Genomic DNA, 19,807 nt, shown 5'->3' with positions numbered 1-19,807 from the left:
ACAGCAACATCTAGTGGAGGCAAACTGGTATTACAATCCATTGGTGTAGCTAACAGCTAACAAACTCTGCTGTCACAGTTATGGTCTATAGGATCTCTACTAACAATGGTAAGCTAAATACTCATATTCTAACCCTATATTTCAAGCCTTCTTGAAAAATTTCTCTCTTTTCACCTAGAAACAATTAAACCTTAAATGGTGCTATGAACAGAGCCACACATGGACACACCATTCTTTTGAGAACCCTTAGATCAACCTCAGAAGGAGCCCCAACTGCTGTCCCCCTGCCACAGCACTCCTTTTCTTTCTTTTCATTTTTTCTCTCTTTTTTTGTTTTTTGAGATGGAGTCTTGCTCTGTCACACAGGCTGGAGTGCAATGGCATGATCTCAGCTCACTGCAACTTCTGCCTCCCAGGTTCAAGCAATTCTTCTGCCTGAGCTTCCTGCGTAGCTGGGAATACAGGCAGATGCCATCACGCCTAGCTAATTTTTGTATTTTTAGTAGAGATTGGGTTTCACCATGTTGGCTGGTCTTGAACTCCTGACCTCATTATCCACCCACCTTGGCCTCCTAAAGTGCTGAAATTACAGTCGTGAGCCACCGCGCCCGGCCCACAGCACTCCTTTCCAACAGGAAGTACCCAGAAAGAGTTACGTTTGCCAAGCCCAGCTCGGTCGTGGAGACCCTAACCCAGCAGCACTAGAGGAATTAAAGACACACACACAGAAATATAGCATGTGGAGTGGGAAATCAGGGGACTCACAGCCTTCAGAGCTGAGAGCCATGAGCAGAGATTTACCCACATATTTATTGACAGCAAGCCAGTGATAAGTATTGTTTCTATAGATTATAGATTAACTAAAAGCACTCCTTACAGGAAACAAAAGGATGGGCCGAAACAAAGGGATGGGCTCTGGCTAGTTATCTGCAGCAGGAACATGTCCTTAAGGCATAGGTTGTTTGTGGTTTAGGAATACCTATAAGTGGTTTTCCGCCCTGGATAGGCCAGGTGTTCCTCGCTCTCATTCCGGTAAACCACAGCCTTCCAGCATGGGCGTTATGGCCACCATGAACATGTCACAGCGCTGCAGAGATTTTGTTTATGGCCAGTTTTGGGGCCAGTTTATGTCCAGATTTGGGGGCCTATTCCCCAGCATATCCCCCTTCTTGTTTTTGCAGGGCAATAAAAGCAAAGGCAGCTTTATCACGGTGAGCTACTTCTCGCAGGAGTCAGGATCTGCATCTGCAGACTACACAAAGACAAACAACACAGATTAATAACACAATCATCATTGAAATCACAGAGCTTCCAAGTGTTTTCATCCATTTTAATGGGTTACTGGCTGCTAATCCGTCTGCAGCTCCTTCAAGCACTCCAGTTCCTGGTATTAAGGTCAGATGTGCCTGGGATGCTTTAAATATTTGTTCTTTTAACTTTGCAATATCCAAAAACCAGTTTGTATAGTGTCCTTCTAGATGGTTTTTTATTCGTTCCCAAATTTTGATCTTATTAAGAGCCATTAATAGTTTCCACAAATCCTTTTGTTAATCTCCTACGGCGGGTCATATCATTTGAGGTTGAGGTGCCACTATACCGCCATGTTTCCAGATAATAAGAACTCTTGCCATACTTCTTACCATTTCTACCATCTGACTGTTTTCTTCTGACCAGCTGAACATAGTGTGGCCATGGCACACATACTCAGAGGTACAATTCAAGCTAAACATCCCCTTAGGAGACCGATCAATAATGATTCCATAGGAATCATTGCGCAGCACCTCTGCCTGTTCTGCAATGCAATCTTCCCAAACAAGTACATTCATTTTTTCTGGCCAGGTTCAATTCTGTTTACAAATAGGTTTTTGAGGGTGGTATGCCTTAATTATAGGAGCAGATTCATTATGGCAAATACTGAGATCAGAAAGCATGTGTAACTGGGTCATAGAGTGATTACATCCAGGCATTATTGCCAGCCAAGATTGATAGATATGCCCAATAAGTATAATTGTTCTCTGTGTCAGCGCTTGCTGAAGGAATACTCACAGCAATGGTGATCACCGCTCTCATAGCTATCATTAAATTACTCATTGTGACTGGTTGTCCCGCTTTCCTCAGGTTTTCTTCCACCATCTGTGACAGCTTCTTGATCTTTCCCCAAGTAGGTGGCTGTGTTCGACGGGTGTTGCTCGTGACAGTTGGGGTCCTCCTCAGCATCAGTCTTGACATGGCTGCAACTGGGGGGTCCTCAGGATTCTCCCAGAATCTCTTCCACAGCATCTGGCTCATGATAAGGTTTTAGGTGTCTTGATGGTATCTAAATCAGCTGCTGGTTCTGGCCTGGAGAAACACAAGCATAATCTCTACCCCAAGTTATTATTTTACCTATTTCCCAACTTTTTGTTATCAGATCTCTCCACCAAACCAGTTGTTCTGCTTCTGTCTTTGCAGCTGGTTTCTGTAGATGCTGTTCAGCTGCTGATAGCATCTGGCCCTTAGGCAGGCTCAAAAAATTTAAAGTCAATAATGCTAGATTCAATTGTATATGCAGTGTCCCATAGTCCCTGTTTCCCCCCGCCCCCTTTGTTTTTGCTACTGCTGTTTCAGGGACAGATTCATTCTTTCTACTATGGCTTGTCCTTGAGAATTATATGGGATACCAGCAATGTGTTTAATATTCCACATAGAGAAAAATGTAGCTAGAGCTTGGCTAGTACAGCCTGGGGCATTATCTGTTTTAATAGAGGCTGGAATGCCCATCACCTCAAAACATTGCAAAAGGTGACATTCAACACAGGCAGAAGACTCTCCTGATTGGCATGTAGCCCAAAGTGGGAAAAGGTGTCCACACATACATGTACATAAGCTAGACTCCCAAACGAGGGAACATGTGTGACATCCATTTGCTAAAGAGAATTAGGTTCCAATCCTTGAGAATTAACTCCTCCTGTAAAAGATGAGGAATGCACCATTTGGCAAATTGGGCATCACTCGGTAATAGCTTTAGCTTCTTTCCAGGTAATGCTGTATCTGCGTTTGAGACCAGAGGCATTAACATGGGTTAAATTGTGAAAGTGTCTAGCATTAGATATTGCAGTAGCAACTAGGCGATCAGCCATTTGATTCCCTCCAGTTAAAGGTCCTGGAAGAGGTGAATGAGCCCTAATGTGAGTGATATAAAAAGGGTGCATTCTACTCCTAACTGCTATTTGCAATTGGGTAAATAAAGTCATCAGTTGTTCATCTGTATGAAATCGTAACTGAGCATTTTCAATTAATTGTGTGGAATGAACCACGTATGAAGAATCAGAAATCACATTAATAGGCATAGTAAAAGCAGCCAATACCTCAATTACAGCTATAAGCTCTGCTTTTTGAGCTGAAGCATAGGGGATCTGAAAAATTTTACCTTTCCAGCCAGAGTAAGAAGTTTTACCATTACTAGACCCTACAAGGAGCCCAGGGACCCCAAAGCAGGGAGCAAAGGATGTTTCTCCCACCTGGAGCACAGCCCTGTTGCAGAAGGCACAGTCTCGGCTCGGGGAGCCCGGCAGGGATCCAGGCGTGGTGGGGGAGGGGGCGCCCGGGCGGAGCTCACCTGCGGCGGTGGGTCGTAGGGTCCCTGGCTTGTGGAGAGAGGTTGGCGCTGTTCCTTGGCTCCGCTCCCCAAAGGGCAAAGCGCCAGGAAGTCGGGCTCCCGGCGGTCTCCAGGCTCTAGCCCACCCGCGCCCAGGCCGCACCCACCGCGTCCCCTCCGCCCCCACACAGGGTGTGGAGCGTCCCGACCGGGCGTCAGCGGGCAGGGCCATGCAGCTCCTGTGGACGCCCAGAAGCGCGGAGCCCCTTCCCACTAGGGCCTGGAGACCACTCTAAACTGGCTCGGCGGCCCTGGGACTCGGGCTCCGGCTCCCGTGGTCTAACCCCTCCTGGGGGCTGTGTCCTCGCCGGACGCCAGGTCGCTGGAGACCTCTGGGTCGCCCCGGCTCCTGGCGGCTCCTGGTGCCACGCGGTCCGGAACTGGCTTGCCTGACATGAGAGGGACAGAGCGATGCGGCTGGCGGGGCTGGGGGTCCCCGCTAGGTGGGAGAGCGGCGGGGCTGCTGCTGACCGGAGCAGCCTGGGTCTGTTCTGGAACCGTCGCCCTGAGGCCCCTCCGCCCCGCAAACCCTCCGGGTGCGGTTTGGGAGTGAAGCCGGACACCAAACACCATCCACGCTCAGCCCCACGTGGGTCCAGGAGTCCCGAGCCCAAGCCCCTGCACCTGTATTTTAATTTTTTTAAAAAACCTGAGGGTTAAAGTCAGGCAAGTCAGCTGACTCAGTGTTTGCCTCCTGCTGCCTAGATGTGACCAGCGTCTTTTGCTGGCAGTCAGAGACCAAGCCCCCCCAGGCCCTCCAGGACCCCCTGACTGGTGAGGCCATCCTCTGCAATTATGAGCAGCACTGAGGTGCTCCCTACCCAGGGTCACTGCCTGAGCCGGCTAGAGGCCCAGCAGGGGGCACTGGAGCTGTGAGACCCAACCTCCCAGAAGCTGCCTCCTCCTGCCCAAGGAGGCTGCGCATCCTCACTCAGGGCTGTGAAGGGGAATGAGGGCAGCTCACAGGCTAAGGGGCCGCTGAAGGCAGTTTTTCTGGACAGCTGACTTGCGAGCCTGGAGGAAGAGTTAGGGTGTGTGTGTGTGTGTGTGTGTTTGTGTGTGTGTGAGAGACAGAGAGAGAGAATTATTTCATTCAAGGACATCTGTGTGTCTCAGTAGAGTAAGAGTGAACAGCAGCATCCCTGCAGAGGAGCAGCATGTGGACAGAGTCACAGGCTGGCTGGATCACAACAAATCCTTGTGGGTCAAGGAGAGCAGATTCCGTGATCAGCTGCTGTCTGGGTTTTGTGTTTGCCTTTTCCTGCTGTTCCATTAAGCCAGGGCACTGGGGCCAGATTGCCCTCAGCCATGGCCAAGGGTTCCCTGACAAGCTGGGGAGGAAGAATTCCCTTCCCAGCCCAGGGGCACAGGTCAGAGCAGCCTGTTCAGTGTGGATCTGAACTCAGAGAGTGGAAGCCACTGTCTCAGAGTCACAGAGCAGGTCAGTGGCAGGGCCCGTGTCCCTGACCTCCAAGCTCTATGTCTCTGAGGAAATATTCCACCCAAGAGCATGAGAGTTCTCTGAGCATGGACTCCCTGGCAGGTGAGGTCATTTTACCCATTATCTCTTTTCATCCTCATTGTGTGTGTGGTTTGTATCAATGTCCCCGTTTTATGGCAGGAAACTTAGGCACAGTGAGGAGCAAAGGCCTGTGCAAAGCTATAGAGCTCAGAAGTGGCTGAGCTGACCAGACAGGCTTCCTTCACCATTGCTCTGCTCCATTTGGAGGTTGGACAATATGCCTTGGGACCAACAGTCACAAGCTTGTGTGGGCTCAGGGGAGATATTCATTAAAAACTAGAATCCATGAAGCTTCCAGCCCCACTCATTTCTGCAGGGGCAGGTGGCTGTGCTTGGCATGGGCTCCTCATTGCTCAAAATAGAGCCTTCTCTTCCAGATAGAGCCTATTGTCCCAAAGGTGAGTGAGGTTGCAGCCCAACCTGGGCAGGGTGATATCTTCTGGGCTAGACTGGAAACTCAAGCCTTGCAGCTGGACAAGTTATGACTTCTGTCCTGCCTCAGTCACTCCTAGGCTGAACGACTCTGGGCACATTGCTCTCTAAGCTTCTGTTTCCTTATCTTTAAGATGGTGACAATGACATCTCTTTCCCACCGTAGCTATTGGTGTTTAGTAACTCATCAGCCTTAGGAGTTGGCATGCATATTCTCTGGCATTACCCAATGGCTGTATTTGTGAGTTTTCCCTGGTCTATGGGGACCTTCCTGAGGGCAGAGGGCAGGGACCAGGTGTCACTTGACTCAGGACCCAGACAGGCACAGCACAGCCAGAACCAGAGGGGGCAGGGCCTGGGTATGATTGGAATCCAGGCATCTGGCCCAGTTTTTCTGGCTCTGTCTTCCCCACCTTTTCCAAACTGATCTAAGGATCAGATTTGCCATGCTGCCCAGACATCCTGGTGGCCCTGTCTGAAGAAGCAGCCTCAGAATTTCTCTGGTGCCAGCTGGACGACTCAGAGAGAAAAACTGGTCACCAATTTCTGCTTCAAGTGGGTAGGGAAGAAAGCTACCACTTGCAGCTACTTATTATGTGTCACCAGCCAGGCACTTTTCCTACTTAGTGGTCACCTCAGCTAAGTCATAAAGACACAGAAAGGAGTGCCTTGCCCCATGTTCACAGCTGATAAGTGGGGTGTGGGAGAGGAGGTGCTGAAATCCACATTTATCTAAACCTTTCAGACCCATGTGCATTTCTCCATTTTTACCACATTGTCCCCTCCTTGGTGACAGCCTGGGCTGCTGCTCCTGCCTCTCACTGGCCTCTCTGCCCCCAAGCTGCCTGTGCCATAGGAAGCTCCATGTTGCGCTTTCAAACCAGCAGCCCAATCCATCCCTCACCTACTTGTGCCTTTCAATGACTCATTGTCCTCAGAAAATGACCCTGGCTCCTAGGTGTCCACACCTTTGTGGCCCTGGGTGCAGTGGCTCACATCTGTAATCCCAACACTTTAGGAGGCTGAGGTGGGTGGATCACCTGAGGTCAGGAGTTCGAGACCAACCTGACTAACATGGCAAAGCCTGGTCTCTACTAAATATACAAAAATCAGGCAGGCATAGTGGCGAGCACCTGTAATCCCAGTTACTCAGGAGGCTGAGACATGAGAATAGCTTGAACCCGGGAGGCAGAGGTTGCAGTGAGGAGAGGTCATGCCATTGCACTCCAGTCTGGGTGACAGAGCAAGAGTCCGTCTCAAAAAAAGAAAAAGCAAAGAAAAATGAAAAAATGAAATAAAGTGATCTACACCCCTTCTTTCAGAATCCTGAACCTGATAATCCTGTTGCTATTTGGTGTTAAAAATGTGCTTCAAATGTTTCTTTTTCGGGGGGGCGGGGGGATGGAGTCTCACTCTGTCACCCAGGCTGGAGTGCAGTGTCACAATTCAGAGATTTTTCTTTAATGATAATCTCAGCCTTTTTAATGATAATTCACCAGCCTTCGCTGCACTGCCAGGAGACCTTGAGATGTCCCCCTTCCCTCTTTATGAAAATGTGCTATGTTTCTAGACAACATGGAAAAATAGAAAAGTACAATTATAAAAAAAAAGCAAATCACAGATGAAAACTTATGGTAGACTTTATATAAACCCCCAAAACAGGCAACACGCAAATGTATATTGTTTATAGATAAAATTGCATAAAGTAAATGATAACACAAAATTCAGATAGTGGTTACATTGGAATAGGAGGTTAATAGGAGACTTCGGAGGTATCCACTTCTCAGGAGTGTGTGAGGGTTTTATGTAGCCAGACTGAAAGTTTCATGAGAGTAGAGACCAATATTTTTTCTTCATTTTATTTCCTAAGCCTAGCAAAAAGGATGGCACATCGTGTCTGCTAACACACACTTTTCAGTTAAATGAATAAATACACGACCTTGTAAGCGGTCAAGCTACGCAGATCAAGACTTTATTATTATTAGTTACTATAGTTAATTAATAGATTCAAATAGAAGGTAATAAACCATAGGATTCAGAAAGCACTATTGAAAGTTTAATGTTAAAGTAGCACTCTTGGGTAAATTAAAACTCTTAGTTCCTAAATTTGTGACCATTATAATTACATTTAAATTGCCACATGAGTATGAAACATGAAATCTGACTGAAGGCAAGCATAATTTAGAGGAAAAGGCAAAAAAAAGAAAAAAAAATGAAAACCTGACCGGGTCAGATCCGCAAGTTCTACTCTGTGCTGGTTTTGTTTTTGTTTTTTTTTGTTTTTTGTTTTTTTAAGACAGAGTCTCGCTCTGTCATCCAGGCTGGAGTGCAGCGGTGCTATCTCTGCTTTGTCTCCCGGGTTTAAGCAATTCTCTGCCTCACCCTCCCGAGTAGCGGGGATTACAGGCGCCCACCATGTCTGGCTAACTTTTGTATTATTAGTAGAGACGGGATTTCACCATCTTGGCCAGACTGGTCTCGAACTCCTGACCGCATGATCCACCCGCCTCGGCCTCCCAGAGTGCTGGGATTACAGGCATGAGCCACCGCGCAGCCTCCGTGCTATTTATTTATTTATTTTTGTATTTTTAGTAGAGACAGGGTTTCACCATATTGGTCAGGCTGGTCTCGAACTCCTGACCTAGCGATCTGCCCGCCTCGGCCTCCCAAAGTGCTGGGATTACAGGCGTGAGCCACCGCGCCCGGCCCTCTGTGCTTCTTTTAAGGAAACAGTTCTCTCTTCTGGTGGAGAGGGAGGCTGGCTGGAGGACTCTGGGCCCTTCTGTCCTCCCCGAGGTGGCAGTCGCTGATCTCTGCTCAGGTGTGAGGGGCGCCGCGATGCCCTGGGCCTAAGGCTGCCAGGCCCCGCTCCTCCTCATTCCCCTGGACTCTTCCACGGTGGGTGTCTCTGTGCCCCTGCATCTTCCTGTGCGTCCCTCTGATGAAAGGGGCGGTGGCAGCTTGAAGCTGGTGGGAGGAACTGGCCGCAGGCTGAGGAGGGCTCGCCCAGCTGCGGGAAATGCTCTGGTTGACCTTGGCTTTCTGTGCACCGAGCTGGGTCTCGACCCAACGTTGGAGCCGAGGCGTCCCGGGGCTGAGCGACCCTGGGTGCGGGTGCTCCGGCTGCTGCTGCGGTTCCTGCTGTGCTCGGCTGGGCGGCGGCTGATACCAGCGCCCACCAGAAGTGCAGGAGCCATCCCGCAGGCGGGAGGAGGTGCTAGCTAGCCATGGTCCCCGAAAACCAGGCTCTGCTGACAAATCTCAGACGCCAGAAACAGAAGAACCCAGAGAAACTGCCCGAGAAACTTGTGCCAAACGGATGGACTGTTGGAGGAGCTGAGGGTGAAGCTGCGGTAACTCCTCAAACTGGAACAGCAAAGTCAGCACCAGAAATAGACAAGAAAAATAAAATTTCAAAGAAAATTAGAAGAAATCAAAGGCAGATGCTAAAGCAGCAAAAAACCCTCCACAGTACAACAGAAATGGAGTTGATGAAGGAGTCTGAGAAATGAATCTTAGTCACTGAGAGAAAGGACAGCAGTGAACACGGTCAGGTGCTGATGATTCTGGTCCACTGGATCCCACCATCCCTGGGAGAGTAAATACCATCCCAGTCATCACCCAGCAAGTTACCACCGCAGCATTTCCCATGTGTTCCAAAATGAATAAAGGTGATTCTCATCACAAGTGCAAATAAAAAGTCATTTATCATGTTTTTAATCTAAACTGTCACAGTTTAGTTTACTATTTTGTTCTTTTTGTGCTAAAACATTTGTTTTTCATTATTTGAGACAGAGTCTCGCTCTGTCACGCAGGCAGGAGTATGGTGGTGCAATCTCAGCTCACTGAAACCTCTGCCTCCTGGGTTCAATTAATTCTCCTACCTCAGCCTGTCCAGTAGCTGAAAACTACAGGCGTGTGCTACCACACCTGGCAAATTTTTGTATTTTTAGTAGAGACGGTTTTTCACCGTGTTTGCCAGGCTGGTCTCAAACTACTGACCTCAGGTGATGCACCTGCCTCGGACTCCCAAAGTGTTGGGATTACAGGCATGAGCCACCCCATCTGGCCAAACATTTGTTTTTCATATATTTTTAATTTTTTTAAGGCAGAGTCTCACTCCTGCCCAGGCTGGAGTGCAGTGGCATGATCTCAGGTCACTGCAGCCTCTGCCTTGTAGGTTTGAGCAATTCTCCTGCATCAGCCTCCCAAGTAACTGGGATTACAGGTGCCTGCCACCACATCCAGCTAATTTTTGTATTTTTAGTAGAGACAGAGTTTCACCATGTTGGCCAGGCTGGTCTCGAACTCCTGACCTCAGGTGATATACTTGCTTTGGCCTCCCAAAGTGCTGGGATAACAGGCATGAGCCACCGCGCCCAGCCACATTTGTTTTTTAAAAGTGGCAGCCACAGTTCCTGTCTAGATATATTTTGAACTTTTGTATGTTAAGTGTAACATAAAAAACGTTATGTTTTAGGTAATGTAAGATTGGTGTACACAAACTTTACAGATTACTGTAGGGTTCAGCAAATGATGTATATAATGACATTTTTATCTCTAGTTTTTGATGTATAAATCTTCCTACAGAAAAGATTGGCTTCTTTAAAAAATGACTCCACAAATTCAGGCTTATTTTATAAAATGGCACGTAGTAAAAAAATTTTTTTTAATTTTTTTTTTTTTTTGAGACAAGGTTTCACTCTTTTTGCCCAGGATGGAGTGCAATGGCATGATCTCGGCTCACTGTAACCTCCACCTACCAGATTCAAGTGATTCTCCTGCCTCCTCTTCCTGAGTAGCTGAGATTACAGGGGCGCACCACTGCGCCCAGCTAATTTTTGTATATTTAGTAGAGACGGGATTTCACCATGTTGGTTAGGCTGGTCTTGAACACCTGATCTCAGGTGATCTGCCTGCCTCAGCCTCCCAAAGTGTTGGGATTACCGGTGTGAGCCACCGCACCTGGCCTAAAAATGGATATTTAATTAATAATTTGTGTTTTCAAACATGCTGAAGTCTTGTTTTAGTAAGTCTGGGGATAGTTGACTAATTTTATTTTGTTTTCTTATGGGGTGTTCAAAAATTTTATTGATTGATGAGTAAACAAATCATTTTCTTTCAAATTTCATAGATCTATTAAAGTGTCAATATATTTTTAATTAAAAAATGTCTTTCAGTATTGTTTCAGGGATTTAGGCCTAGTTGAATATGCTCAACCTGTTAATCATTGTCTCCTGCCAGATTCCAAATCACTGTCTGTGCCTGTATGACTCTTCTTTCCATAGTCTTTGAATTAAATTTGTGTTACTTCTTTGAATGTTATATAATACAGCTCATATGTTTCAAATGAAACTACAAGGTAAAATGAGTTATGACTTAGTATAAAGAAGCTGTTAGCAACTCAGTATTACGTATACAGATGGATGTGGCTCAACAAGAATTTAGACAAAAATATTGAACTGTAACAGGTTGCCATGACTTAGTCTCTAATGAGTTTATAGATAAATCTATATTTCAGCACATATATCCAGTTGTGTTCAGTACCTCTAAAGGTGGTATATCAAGAATTCTTATGCTACTGTCTGAGAAAACAGACTCTGCTGTTACCTAGGTAGTCAACCAGAAGGCCGGCCGGGCGCTGTGGCTCATGCCTGTAATCCCAGCACTTTGGGGGGCCAGGGCAGGTGGATCGCCTGAGGTCAGGAGTTCGAGAACAGCCTGACCAACACAGTGAAACCCGGTTTCTACTAAAAATACAAAAATTAGCTGGGTGTGGTGGCACATGCCTGCAATCCCAGCTACTCAGGAGGCTGAGGCAGGAGAATCACCTGAACCTGGGAGGCGGAGGTTGCAGTAAGCAGAGATTGCGCCATTGCACTCCAGCCTGGGCAACAAGAGCAAAACTCTGTCTCGGGAGAAAAAAATAAAATAAATCAACTGGAAGGCATTTTTATAACCTTGCACCACATAACTAAAAGCTGAAAGGTAGTACTAATAAATGCAAACTACATCACATGGAAAATGGTAATCCAGAATTTAACTTTCGATATTTAAGTATTTGAACTTTTGATATAAAAAATTTGGTAAAATAAAGCTTTTGGTAAGCTTTGTGTAGCTTGACATCAGCATAAAGTAGGAAAATATCTTAAAAACAAAAACCTACACCAAAAAAAACTAGTCAATGCTTATATAGTGATCTTTGTGCTGTGGGAGTCCAAAGCAAAACATTTGGTGAACTTGATATTTATTTTGAGCATATTGGCATCCTGATAAAATTATTTGAGTGATTCATGTCCACATCTCAAAAATACAGCCTTGTACTATGAATAATGAAAAGTCTTTTTCCTCAAGAGGATCCTGATTCTCAACCCAACATATATGGCAACGCTTTCCTTTGGTTCCTCCAAACTGAGGCCTCATTAAGGCTCAAATATGGAGTGAGAGGGACCCAGCAACAGACAATGTGAAACAAGAAGGATGAGGTAAGATGGTCAGCTCTTAAGGCTCAGGAATTGCCTGGGGAATCTCAATATAATGATGTCAACTATAAAGCTTACTGGGTTAAAAAAAAAATCAAAACATAAAAAGCTGAAAATTCCATGAGTTGACTTTGGTGGGAAGGAGACTGTAGAATTTTAAGCAGTTGTGCCAAAAGGATTGAGTCAGAATGACATTTATCTAAGGATTATTAAGGCAAAGGTTTACAAACACATAAGTATTTGTTCCAAATCTTATTACCGCAGCAATATTCTTTTCTGTAATGTCAGCTTCCCCAAGCTAGGGATGCCATAGACAAACTAAGACAAGTGCCTAATATGTGCCTACAGGTAATTAGTTTCTAATTTCAACAAACTTTCAATAAACTCTGTTTCATGTATAAATCTCATTGAAAAGCACTGTGCAGTAGCTATTTCTCTCAGTGATTTCTGGGATTTTCTGTTGCTTGATTCAAAACCAACCTTATTTGAACCCAATCATTTCTAAAGTTCCAAATGTAATAACAAAAGAGAGTAGAAATGAAACCAAGTCACCCCACGCACTTCATGTCCAATATATTTGGTTCTGCAAATGAACCAAAAACCACACAAGCTAAACAATAGTGAGTTTAAAATTCAACCTAATTTCAATTGTAGCAGTCAAAACCATATGCTAAAATTAGCAAAGCCACAATGCAGAATCCCTTAGGCTGTTATTCCAGGAAAAATAATAAAATTCTTATTTTGGCATTTTTCAAAAGAATACACTAAATATGACAAAATATACCCAGTTATTAAAAATCTTTGAAATATAAATTCTTATTCTTAAATATTTGCTATATTTAGAAGAGCCTTTCAGTGAAAAATGCTTATAGCTACTATGTATAAATTAAAACAGCCCTTGGAAAAATAGTATCTTTTATTAATAATGTAGATTGAAGCTCCAAGGATGTAAACTAATTTCTCCTGGGCACATAGCTCATGTCCCAAATCAAGCTCAAATGAAGATATGTAACAGTCATAAGTTATATTATTAAATTAAAATACTTCTAGAAATAAAAATAAAAGGAGAGTTATAAAAACAAAAACAAATTAAAAAAAGGAAGTGGATTCCTCACAATTACTCCTAAGGTATGGATTAAACCTAAGTGTTAATCAACAGGTGAATGAATATAGAAAATGTGGTATATTTACACAACGAAATGCTATTCTGCCCTTCAAAAGAAGCAACTCTCATTATTTGCAACATCAATGAACCTGGAGGACATTATGCTAAGTAAAATAAGTCAGCAGAGAAAAGAACCCACTTAATATTATTTTTCTTTTCTTTTCTTTTCTTTTTGAGACGGAGTTTTTCTCTTGTTGCCTAGGCTGGAGTACAATGGCGTGATCTTGGCTCAACGCAACCTCCACCTCCCGGATTCAAGCAATTCTCCTGCCTCAGCCTCCAGAGTAGCTGGGATTACAGGCATGCGCCACCATATCTGGCTAATTCTTCATTTTCAGTAGACAAGGTTTCTCCATGTTGGTCAGGCTGGTCTCGAACTCCTGACCTCAGGTGATCTGCCCGCCTGGGTTTCCCAAAGTGTTGGGATTCCAGGTGACAGCCACCTGCCCGGCCACATAATATTATTTTCTATGTAGAGTGTACAAAAAATTTAAACCATAGAAGCAGAGAGTAGAATGATGATTGCCTGGAATTGGGGGTGGAGGAGATGTTGGTCCAAAGTAATGGGTCTTCCTTATGTCTCTTACCTTAACATATAAGCTATTCTTCTCTGTTTTGATTCACCAGGGAATGGAATTATATCCTGAAAAGCAAAACTGAAGGAGTTATGTATTTGTTAAAGCAATGCAGGTTGTATACTGAAATTTCAGAGGCTTAGAAAAATAACATATCTTCTGCTCACATCACCATCCCCTGTGGTTTTTCTTTCCTTTTTCTTTTTCTTTCTTTCTTTCTGGTTAAGAGGACTTCTTCGTGATCTTTCAGGAATCACATTATATTTTATCTACTATCTTCCGCATTCTTTTTCTTCAGTGACTACATTTAAAAAGAGATGCAGAGAAGACACATTTGCTTCTTATCCACACATCACTTTCACTCACTATTAGTCAATGTGGGTAGAGCTGAGAATAGCAGTTTCCTGGCAGGACAGCCACTTCTTAGCAATATAGAAATCACTGAAAGAAAAGTATAAGTCTTTCATAAAAAGCTAATGTATTTTAGGCAAAATAAGCATATGAATCATAGTAAAATGCTTCTGGTAAAATAAAGATTCATTTTGTTGATTTCTATTGCGCCAGGTAATATTTCACCAAAGGCTAGCAAATGTATAGCCAAAAAAGTAATATCATTTGAAATAAGAATATTGTGAATAAAGTTATTCTGTCAATAGAACATGACTTCATAGTCTTACCTGTAGCTGTACAACATCAAATGCTTTTTATTAAAAATTGCATTTTATACAAGTATTCAATTTCTGTCACCTTTCTTCTCTATTTCAATGCCTTCTTCACTTTACACCAATAAAAAACAAGCCAGCTGGTGCCAGGAAAGCACATGGTGCTATTGCCATTTTAATGACAATGAAGAGCACTCATTTGAGTAGCACTTGTGTGCAAAACACTGTTATTTAACACAAAGTACCGGTTTTCTATTTTTCCCTAAATTTACTGAAAAAATTTTTAGCTAAGAAGACTTTTATCTCATTCAAGTGTGTTTTATAAAATTTGTTTGACATTTAAGTGTCTCTGACTTACCTGGAATATATTATAATTTTTCATGAATCCAGGTTGAGTACTATAAATAAACAATCTTTTACCAAAAGCCTTTCTGAGGCAGAGTAGGATACATCAAATTTTATTATAATATGGTAAAAGTGTGTTAACCATGTTCCCAGTAATCCCTCTGAACACAGAATTCTCAGTTCCCAGTATTCACCTTGAGTCACTCAGGGGAAATTGGTATCTCTGTAAGCAGGCAGAAGAAGGTGCCCAGTGGAGGTGCACCACATTGCATGGAAATGCTGTCCACATGCACCTATGGGGTCTTAATTTAATTGGGCTGTGATTTGCATGACTAGATACTTACTGAATCTGGTCATACTGTTTTTGGCAGCTAATGGCATTTGTTCCCCCATCAGTTTTCTACAGTTATTTGCTTTGCTGAAAAATAAATCTTTTGCTAATTGAAAGACCAGATTTGCAATTTTCAATTTTTACATGTGAAAGGAAATCAGAGAATAATAATATGTGTATGTAGCATGCATTTTCCTGCCTATCAAAATTCTTCTTGTATTGCCTTGGAAACCCTAGGAAGCTACCTGAAGAATTCTCCCTTCAAGTTGTTTAGCCAGGATTTTAGATTTCAAAATATCCATAACTTAATAATTGAGCAAAGCAAAAATCTTGTCTTTGCTTCTTTTTAGTAATCTGGTCATTTCAAAAAGCATGGCAATTATGCAAAGCTATTGATTTTTTATCAATTTTTGATTAATTTTATCCCATTTCAAATGTTTTAACTGTTACTTTTATCTTGTTAAACTAAGAGAAACTATCTACATAACTGTTTATGCATTCACCCCTGTAATCCCAACACTTTGGGAGGCTGAGGTGAGTGGATTACTGGAGGTCAGGAGTTCCAGACCAGCCTCGTCAATATGGCGAAACCCCATTTCTACTAAAATGTAAAAATTAGCTGGGCATAGTGGCGTGCACCTGTAATCCCAGTTACTTGGGAGGCTGAGGCAGGAGAATAGCTTGCACCCGGGAGGCAGAAGTTGCAGTGAGCTGAGATCACACCACTGCACTCCAGCATAGGTGACAGAGTGAGACTCTGTTTCAATAAATAAATAAATAAATAATAGGTGGAGAATAAGCGCTGGCAAAATTCAACATACATGATAAATACATGATAAATCTCTGAATAAAACAGGTATAGGACAAATGCACCTCAAGCCAATATACACCAGATATACCAAAAAAAATGCACAGCTAACAACATATTAAGCAAGGAAATGTTGTAAGCTTTTACTCTAAAAGCTAGAACAAGACAAGAAGGCCCACTTCGATCAGTCTTATTAAACATAGTATTAAATGTCCAAGTCAGAAAATTTAGAGAATAAAATCAAAGGCATCCAGCTTGGAAAAAAAGTTAAATTATCCCTGTTTACAGATGACATACTCTTAGGTATAGAAAAGCCTAAGACTTCACTTAGAACTAATAAACAAATTTATTAAACTTGCAAAATACAAAATCAACACACGAGTCAGTAGCATTTCTACACAAGAACAATTAACTATCTCAAAATGAAATTAAAAGCAATCTCATCTACAATAAATGTAATAACTACACTTTGAAATCAGTTTAACCAAAAAGTTAAAACACCTTACATTATAATCTAAAGAACATTAAAGGAAGAAATTAAATACTAAACCAATTAAATAGTACTAATTCATGAATTGGCATTAATATTGTTAAATATCCATATTACAGAAAATAATCTGCAGATATAACACAACCTTTATCAAAATACCAGTGACATACTTAATAAAAATTAAATATATCTAAAATTTATATGATACCCCACAAAAGATCCTGTATAGCCAAAGCAATCAAGAAAAAAAAACACTAAAGTTATTACCCTACCTGACTTTGAAATATACTACCAAGCTATAGTACTCAAAACAGTATGGTACTTGAATAAAAACAGACACATATGCCAGTGGAGCAGTAAAGACAAACCAGGAATATATCCACGTATTTACAGCTAACTCAATTTAAATATAGGTAACACTTTCTTAGGGAAAGGGCATTATCTTCAATAAATGGTGCTAAGAAAATTATAGCAACATGCAGAGCAATGAGGCCCTCATTTCACACCATATATAAAAATCTATTCAAATAGTTTAATTACTTAAATGTAAGTCCTGAATCTCTGAAACTACTACAAAAAATATAGAGTAAAAGCCCCATTACATTGGTCTAGGCAGTAATTCTTTTGATTTAACCTCAAAATCCCAGAGAATCAAAGGCAAAATTGATGTCAGATTACTTCAAATTATTAATAAAAAGCTGTTGAAAAAAATCTGATACAACAAACAGGACAAGAAAAGTAAAAAATGGGACAAAATATTTGCAAACCATACATGTGACAAGACTTTAATATAAAAAAAAATGTAAGAAACTTGGCCAGGCTGCAGGCTCATGCCTGTAGTTCCAGCACTATGGGAGACCAATGCGGGCAGATCACTTGAAGTCAGGAGTTAGAGACCAGCCTGGCCAACATGGTGAAACCCCATCTCTACTAAAAATACAAAAATTAGCCAGGCATAGTTGTGGGTGCCTGTAATCCCAGGTACATAATTATAGTTAAATAAGAGGAATAAGTTCAAAAGATTTTTCTGTACAGCACGGTGACTATGGTTCATAATAATGTATTTGTATATGCTAATACTGAAAAAATGAAAAGTGCTAAGAAAAATGCTAAGAAAATGTGAAGTGCTCTCACCATAAAATGTTAACTATGTGAGGTAAAGCATTAACTTGGAATTAAGCATTTGACATTGTATATATACTTCAAAACATCATGTTTTACAGAAAAAAATGCATTTTATGTCACATCAAAAAATTCATTTTTAAAACATTATAGAAAGATAATAATGTTTCAAATACTGTGTCTGTTTCATAAACTTGGCTGAATAGTATCAAAAATACTTAGTTCTTGTGTGGCTTTTGTCATCTGTCATAATCACAGAAACTCTGATATTTAACAGCATGTTCTGGACCCAGTACAGTCTGTGGGAAAAGCCAATGTACTTTAGGGTTTTTACTTTAAGCTTGGGGTACCTGGAGTTTCTGGTACAGATGGTAATGGTATGAAAGACACTAAAAGGGCAGGTGTTGCTTATGGTCCCATGACACCATTCTGTGAAGGCAGAACACAAATTTGCATGCAAAAAAATAGAAAACGTTTTAATCCAAAAGTTGCCCTGATCTCCAAAAGTTTTCCAGAGAAAATGACCAAGGAGTTGGCTACAGATAGGTGACTAAGAATAAAAGCTGTAGACTGAACTTCACCAACCAAAAAAATATATATTAAGAAAAGTGAGACCGGGCGCAGTGGTTCACGCCTGTAATCCCAACACTTCAGGAGGCTGAGGTGGGTGGATCATCTGAGGTCAGGAGTTCGAGACCAGCCTGGCCAACATGGCAAAACGCTGTCTCTACTAAAAAGTACAAAAATTAGCCAGGCGTGGTGGCAGGTGCCTGTAATCCTAGCTACTCAGGAGGCTGAGGCAGGAGAACAGCTTGAACCTGGGAGGCGAAGGTTGCAGTGAGCCGAGATGGCGCCACTGCACTCCAGCTTGGGTGACAAGAGTGAGACTGCATCTAAAAAAGGAATTCCTCCAAATTGTAATATTAATAGGGAAAAGAAATACTATTCCAAATTTCAAGTCAACAGAAGTCATTTTATTATTTTGCAATGTTTTACAGTCACACTTAAAAATAGATTCTGTGTGAAAACGTTACTCCCGCGTTCAAATGATTCTCCTGCCTCAGCCTTCAAAGTAGCTGGGACTACAGATGCACACGACCACAGCTGGCTAATTTTTGTATTTTTAGTAAAGACAGGGTTTCACCATGTTGGCCGGGCTGGTTTCGCACTCCTGGCCTTAAGTAATCCACCCAGCTCAGGCTCCCAAAGTGCTAGGATTACAGGCATGAGCCACCGTGCCGAGTCAGATTTACCATTAGCTCTCTTAAAAATTTAATTTCTGGCCGGGCGCAGTGGCTCGCGCCTGTAATCCCAGCACTCTGGGAGGCGGAGGTGGGCGGATCACCTAAGGTCAGGAGTTCACGACCAGCCTCACCAACATGGAGAAACCCTGTCTACTAAAAATACAAAATTAGCCAGGCGTGGTGGCACATGCCTGTAATCTAAGTTACTAGGGAGGCTGTGACAGGAGAATCAAACCCAGGAGGTGGAGGTTGTGGTGAGCCAAGATCGCGCCATTGCACTCCAGCCTGGGCAACAAGAGTGAAACCTCATCTCTAAATAAATAAATAAATAAATAAATTTCTAACATATTTTCTAGCAAATTTTATATTTGCCACACTTTGTATAAGAATCTAGTAAGATATTTTTTTTTTTTTTTACAAACAGTTAAAAACAATGCTAAGTGATTTAATCCTCTCACCTGTGGACAGCGTATGCCTTTTATCTTAACAATCTGACAGTTATATTGGTAAGCAAACTCACCAATTAAAACCAATTTTTCAGTGCACTAAAAATATCAAATTTCTCATCAAAACTTACTAAATTACCATGTGAAATGACATGGCATAAAGACAACAGCAAGAAAACTGTAGCCATAACACAGAAAAAGAAGAGCTGTGATGCACACATTGTTGGAATACACATAAGACAAACAAAACTGAATATAATTAGAAAATAACCAGCATTTCTCTTTAAATTCGGCAGAATTCAGCTTCGCAGCCTGGAAAAAAAATGTCCTCTCCACATGAAAAATCAATGTTACTGTTTCACCATTGATATATTCCATTTCTGACTTGAAGTTACAAACTAACTTCAACAGGAATATTTATGTCTTACTATGGAGCATCTGTTATAGATCAAGCACTGTCATGTTTGTCTGCTATGTTTATATAGAACAGCATCCTCATGACTCAGGAAGCCTCCCTAGTACTTACCTGAACAAATTCAATAAATA

General features: G+C 42.4%; 1 protein-coding gene and 2 pseudogenes across 1 annotated transcript in view; 1 reads left to right on the top strand and 2 right to left on the bottom strand.

The window, feature by feature from the left end:
* MTDHP1 (metadherin pseudogene 1) lies at positions 8,545-9,293 on the top strand (annotated as a pseudogene).
* The window catches only part of ZNF273 (zinc finger protein 273), a 59,714-nt gene continuing 54,046 nt past the window's right edge, over positions 14,140-19,807 (bottom strand). The window contains exon 5 of the transcript XR_007059982.1: positions 14,140-14,150. The gene's annotated coding sequence lies outside the window, so the exon portion shown is untranslated. The remainder of the gene's footprint in view (positions 14,151-19,807) is intronic.
* On the bottom strand, positions 17,705-18,183 carry VN1R42P (vomeronasal 1 receptor 42 pseudogene; annotated as a pseudogene).

This window comes from Homo sapiens, chromosome 7 (assembly GCF_000001405.40).
Source record: "Homo sapiens chromosome 7, GRCh38.p14 Primary Assembly".
Lineage (NCBI taxonomy): Eukaryota > Metazoa > Chordata > Mammalia > Primates > Hominidae > Homo > Homo sapiens.
The sequence above is the reverse complement of the archived record's forward strand: the minus strand, read 5'-3'. Positions and strand labels throughout refer to the sequence as shown.